The sequence below is a fragment of the Homo sapiens genome, chromosome 6 (assembly GCF_000001405.40).
Source record: "Homo sapiens chromosome 6, GRCh38.p14 Primary Assembly".
NCBI classification, from domain to species: Eukaryota; Metazoa; Chordata; class Mammalia; order Primates; family Hominidae; genus Homo; species Homo sapiens.
Genome location: NC_000006.12, coordinates 18,021,957 through 18,025,612, shown reverse-complemented (window position 1 = coordinate 18,025,612; position 3,656 = coordinate 18,021,957). Strand labels below are relative to the sequence as shown.

Sequence of the window (3,656 nt, the reverse complement as noted above, 5' to 3'; positions counted from 1 at the left end):
AGTGTAGGTACAGGTTGAGTCCTCTACTCAGGGTGTCACTAGGCTGAAATATGGTGTGGCTGGGGCTGTGATTTCATCTGAAGCTCATGGTCCTCTTGCCATGGTCATTCAGGTTGTGAGCAGAATTCAGTTCCCTGGAGTTATAGAGATGAAGTCCCCACTTTCTTACTGGCTACTAGCCAGGGACCACTCTCAGTTCCAAGAACCACTCTCATGTTAACCATGAGCCCCTTCCATAGCAGTTCACAACACGGCTGTTTCTTTCTTCCAGGCCAGGCCCGTTGGAAGGTCTCTGTGATGCTTCACCATCTTGTAAAAGGTCCAGCTAATTAGGGCAGGCTCACCCAGAACAATCTCCCTTTCGATTAACTGAAAGTCAAGTATTCTGTAGCCCAATTACGGCAGTGATATCCCATCATAGTCACGAATCCTACCCACACTCCAGTGGAGGGAATTATATAAAGCATGTTCACCAGTGGGTGGGAATCTTGAGTGTCTTTTTAAAATTCTGACTTCCACAACCACTGATGGAAGTAACCGAAAAGAGGCGGCAAATCCTCAGAAGAGACAACAGTGGATGAGAGGTGTCAACATATCTGTATGCCTGCCAAAAATGAGTGCTGAGAACCACAGACAATCTCAGGGTGTAAAGAAGCAAGGTATTGCTGAAGGCAGGGCTGTAAAAGGGCTCAAAATTGGCATAATCATTGAAAATCTATTTAAAAGGCAATGAGACCCTCCCCGGGTCCCCTTGCTCACCCCTGGAAGGTAGGCAAGTCGTCTTCTCCTCACTGTCCCCAGAAATTTATTCTCTAAAGAAATCTGGCCAGGGGCAGTGGCTCACACCTGTAATCCCAGAACTTTGGGAGGCTGAGGCAGGCAGATCACGAGGTCAGGAGATCGAGACCATCCTGGTTAATATGGTGAAACCCCGTCTCTACTAAAAATACAAAAAATTAGCTGGGCGTGGTGGCATGTGCCTGTAGTCCCAGCTACTTGGGAGGCTGAGACAGAATTGCTTGAACCCGGGAGGTAGAGGTTGCAGTAAGCTGAGATCACGCCACTGCACTCTAGCCTAGGCAACAGAGCGAGACTGTCTCAAAAAAAAAAAAAAAATCTGACCAGAACTTCTCTAGGTAAGAACATTGGTACATTCCAAGGGAGATACTGTTAAGTGAATATCTACACGCAGCATCGTGAGACCCTGCATAAATCTCTTTCCTTGTCTTTCTGCCAGAAAGTTGGCAGTCAGGCTCCTATTCTTTAGGAAGAAAATTGGAGAGATCTTCTCTATAGAAAATAATCCCAGAAAATAAAATTTCTACAAGCTGACATTTGTGTGTCATTCTGGTGTGAAAACCCTTGGCACATGATCACCCTGTTCTGAGGGCCACAGGTTGAAAAGCAGCACACACACACACCCCACCACTTCCAATCAGCCCTTCACCGCTCTACCTGCCATCAAGTGAAAATGATGTAGTCAAGACTGGCCTTGAGCGGTCATAAAAGCAGCTATAATTTGCATGACTTCCACACCACCTACTCCTGCTGCATGGCTGCCTTTCCTCAACCGATACCTATGGCCTCCAGCGTTCCTAATAGGTAATGGACTGGGGAAAAATAATTCAAGTATAGTTTTATTTTCTCTGGGTTATTTTGTTTGTTCCCTTCCCCACTCTCTTCTATGACCACTCCTGAGTGGTACCCAAAATGTTGCAGCTATTCAGCTGGTGCCAGCAAATCAGCATATTGTATAAAGGAATTTGCAAACCATACTTGAATTATTTTTCCTCAATCCTTAGGAGGCCGAGGAGGGCGGATCACTTGAAGTCAGGAGTTCAAAACCAGCCTGGCTACGTGGTGAAACCATCTCTACTGAAAACACAAAAATTAGCCAGGCTTGATGGGGTGCACCTGTAGTCCCAGCTATTCTGAGGGAAGAGGATCGCTTGAGCCCAGAAGGTGGAGGCTTCAGTGAACTGAGACTGCGCCACTGCACTTCAGACTGGCTAACAGCACGAGACCCTGTCTCAAAAAATAAAGCTGTTATTTTCCTTCCTTTTGCCTTTTGAATTCTGCTCACCATAAAATTAAGCCAAATACTTTTTTGAGGGGGCAGCAAAAACTTGTCAGATTTACGAAATTCATTAACAGCAGCATTCTCAAAGGAAAGGTTTGGAGGCCTGCCATACCTTAGGCTTGATCAAAGCAGATGAAAACCTCAGCCCAGTAATGTTCTTAAATTCATAGCTCAATTGGATTATACATAAAGGTGTCATTCTTCGGAAAGGCTATTTTTCAAACCCTCTAATGAAAAAGCTAGGGAATATTGCTATCAATTCATCCTTTCCTCTTCAAGCAAAGAGCATTCCTCTGCTTTAAACAGATGGGGCTCTGTGTGACAAACAGCAGTGTTCCAGGGAGCAGCGATGGCACTGACATCTTGTACCCAGTGTTTATAAGCTGGGTTGTCCCTCTGTTTTCATTTCCTTTGACTAGACTAGAGCAGTGTTTAAGATTCAGACAATGGAACGGCAGGGTGAGTCCCAGTCATCCTCACATTCCAGCCATTCTTTATGATAATGAGCAGGGTGAGCGCCTTCGAGGAAGGATTCCAGAGAAGGTAGGAGGAGCGGAGGAGGAAAGAACAGCAAAACCTTTCTAGCCCAGCAATGTCTTCGTGCTCACTGTATTACTAGCTCAGGCACTGAAGCTGCAGTTAATTGCTATTCCCAGGGGATTCAGCTGGTTTTTTTGTTTTGTTTTGTTTTTTTGTTTTTTTTCCCTCCATTTACAGAGGCAGCTATAACAAAGACCATGTGAGTGCATGCGCACACACACACCACTGTTCCTGTGTTCCCAACTGATTGCTGACCGGCTTTCGTGAAGCCCTCACCTTCCCCATCATTATCACAAAAAATACCAGTTATCACCGAATGAAAATCATCTGTCTCTTAAGGAACAGACAGGGTGTTTGCTGTTCTAATGACTTCACCTGCACTGTATGGAGCTTGGAATATGATTAATGTTGCATCAGTGTCCCCTTTGGCAAGCTCTTGCAGACAAGGGCAAACTGCCACAGCTGTCTTCCAAAGATGGTCTCTACTAGATGACAGTAAGTGGGAAAAAGCAAATTCATTTTAGAGCAAAGGGAAAAGTTTACACTTCTAAACCTGCAATTTGTTCCTATGATGTTGAAAACTCTTCGTAGGTATTGTGGGTGGATTCGAAACCAATCACATTTGCATATTTCTGCATGTAAACATCTTTGAGTGCGTTTTTCCTTTCTGCCTGACACCTTATACAAAAAAATGCCACTTAATAATGACTATTTTCCAGATCCTTATTAAATGTACATGATCTTCAAGCACTCAGTCCTCAACAAACGTTTATTAAACTCCTATCACTTGTCAGCCAGGTTCTGAATGCTGGGCTTGGGGGACTCTTGCCCTCACGGAGCTTCCAGTCTGGTTACTTACCACGCCCAATTAGTACGGGATCCAAATTGCATGAGGTCTGGAGTTTATACACTCGGGGTGCTCATTAAGAAACTTAAGTTTACTGTGCCAAGTATTACTTAGCGTACAGAATTTGCAAAAAGCTATAAAAAAGGCACATCTAAATGAAGGACCTGAGGCTTAAGCTTCAAATGTTTC

The 3,656-nt window shown here is 44.5% G+C and overlaps 1 annotated feature.

The window, feature by feature from the left end:
• Positions 2,400-3,353: an enhancer, noted in NCBI's record as "OCT4-NANOG-H3K27ac hESC enhancer chr6:18022491-18023444 (GRCh37/hg19 assembly coordinates)". NCBI's record gives its function as "activates a minimal SCP1, AML or CMV promoter by ChIP-STARR-seq in primed H9 embryonic stem cells {active_cell/tissue: H9 hESC(primed)}" and the evidence as "EXISTENCE:reporter gene assay evidence [ECO:0000049][PMID:30033119]".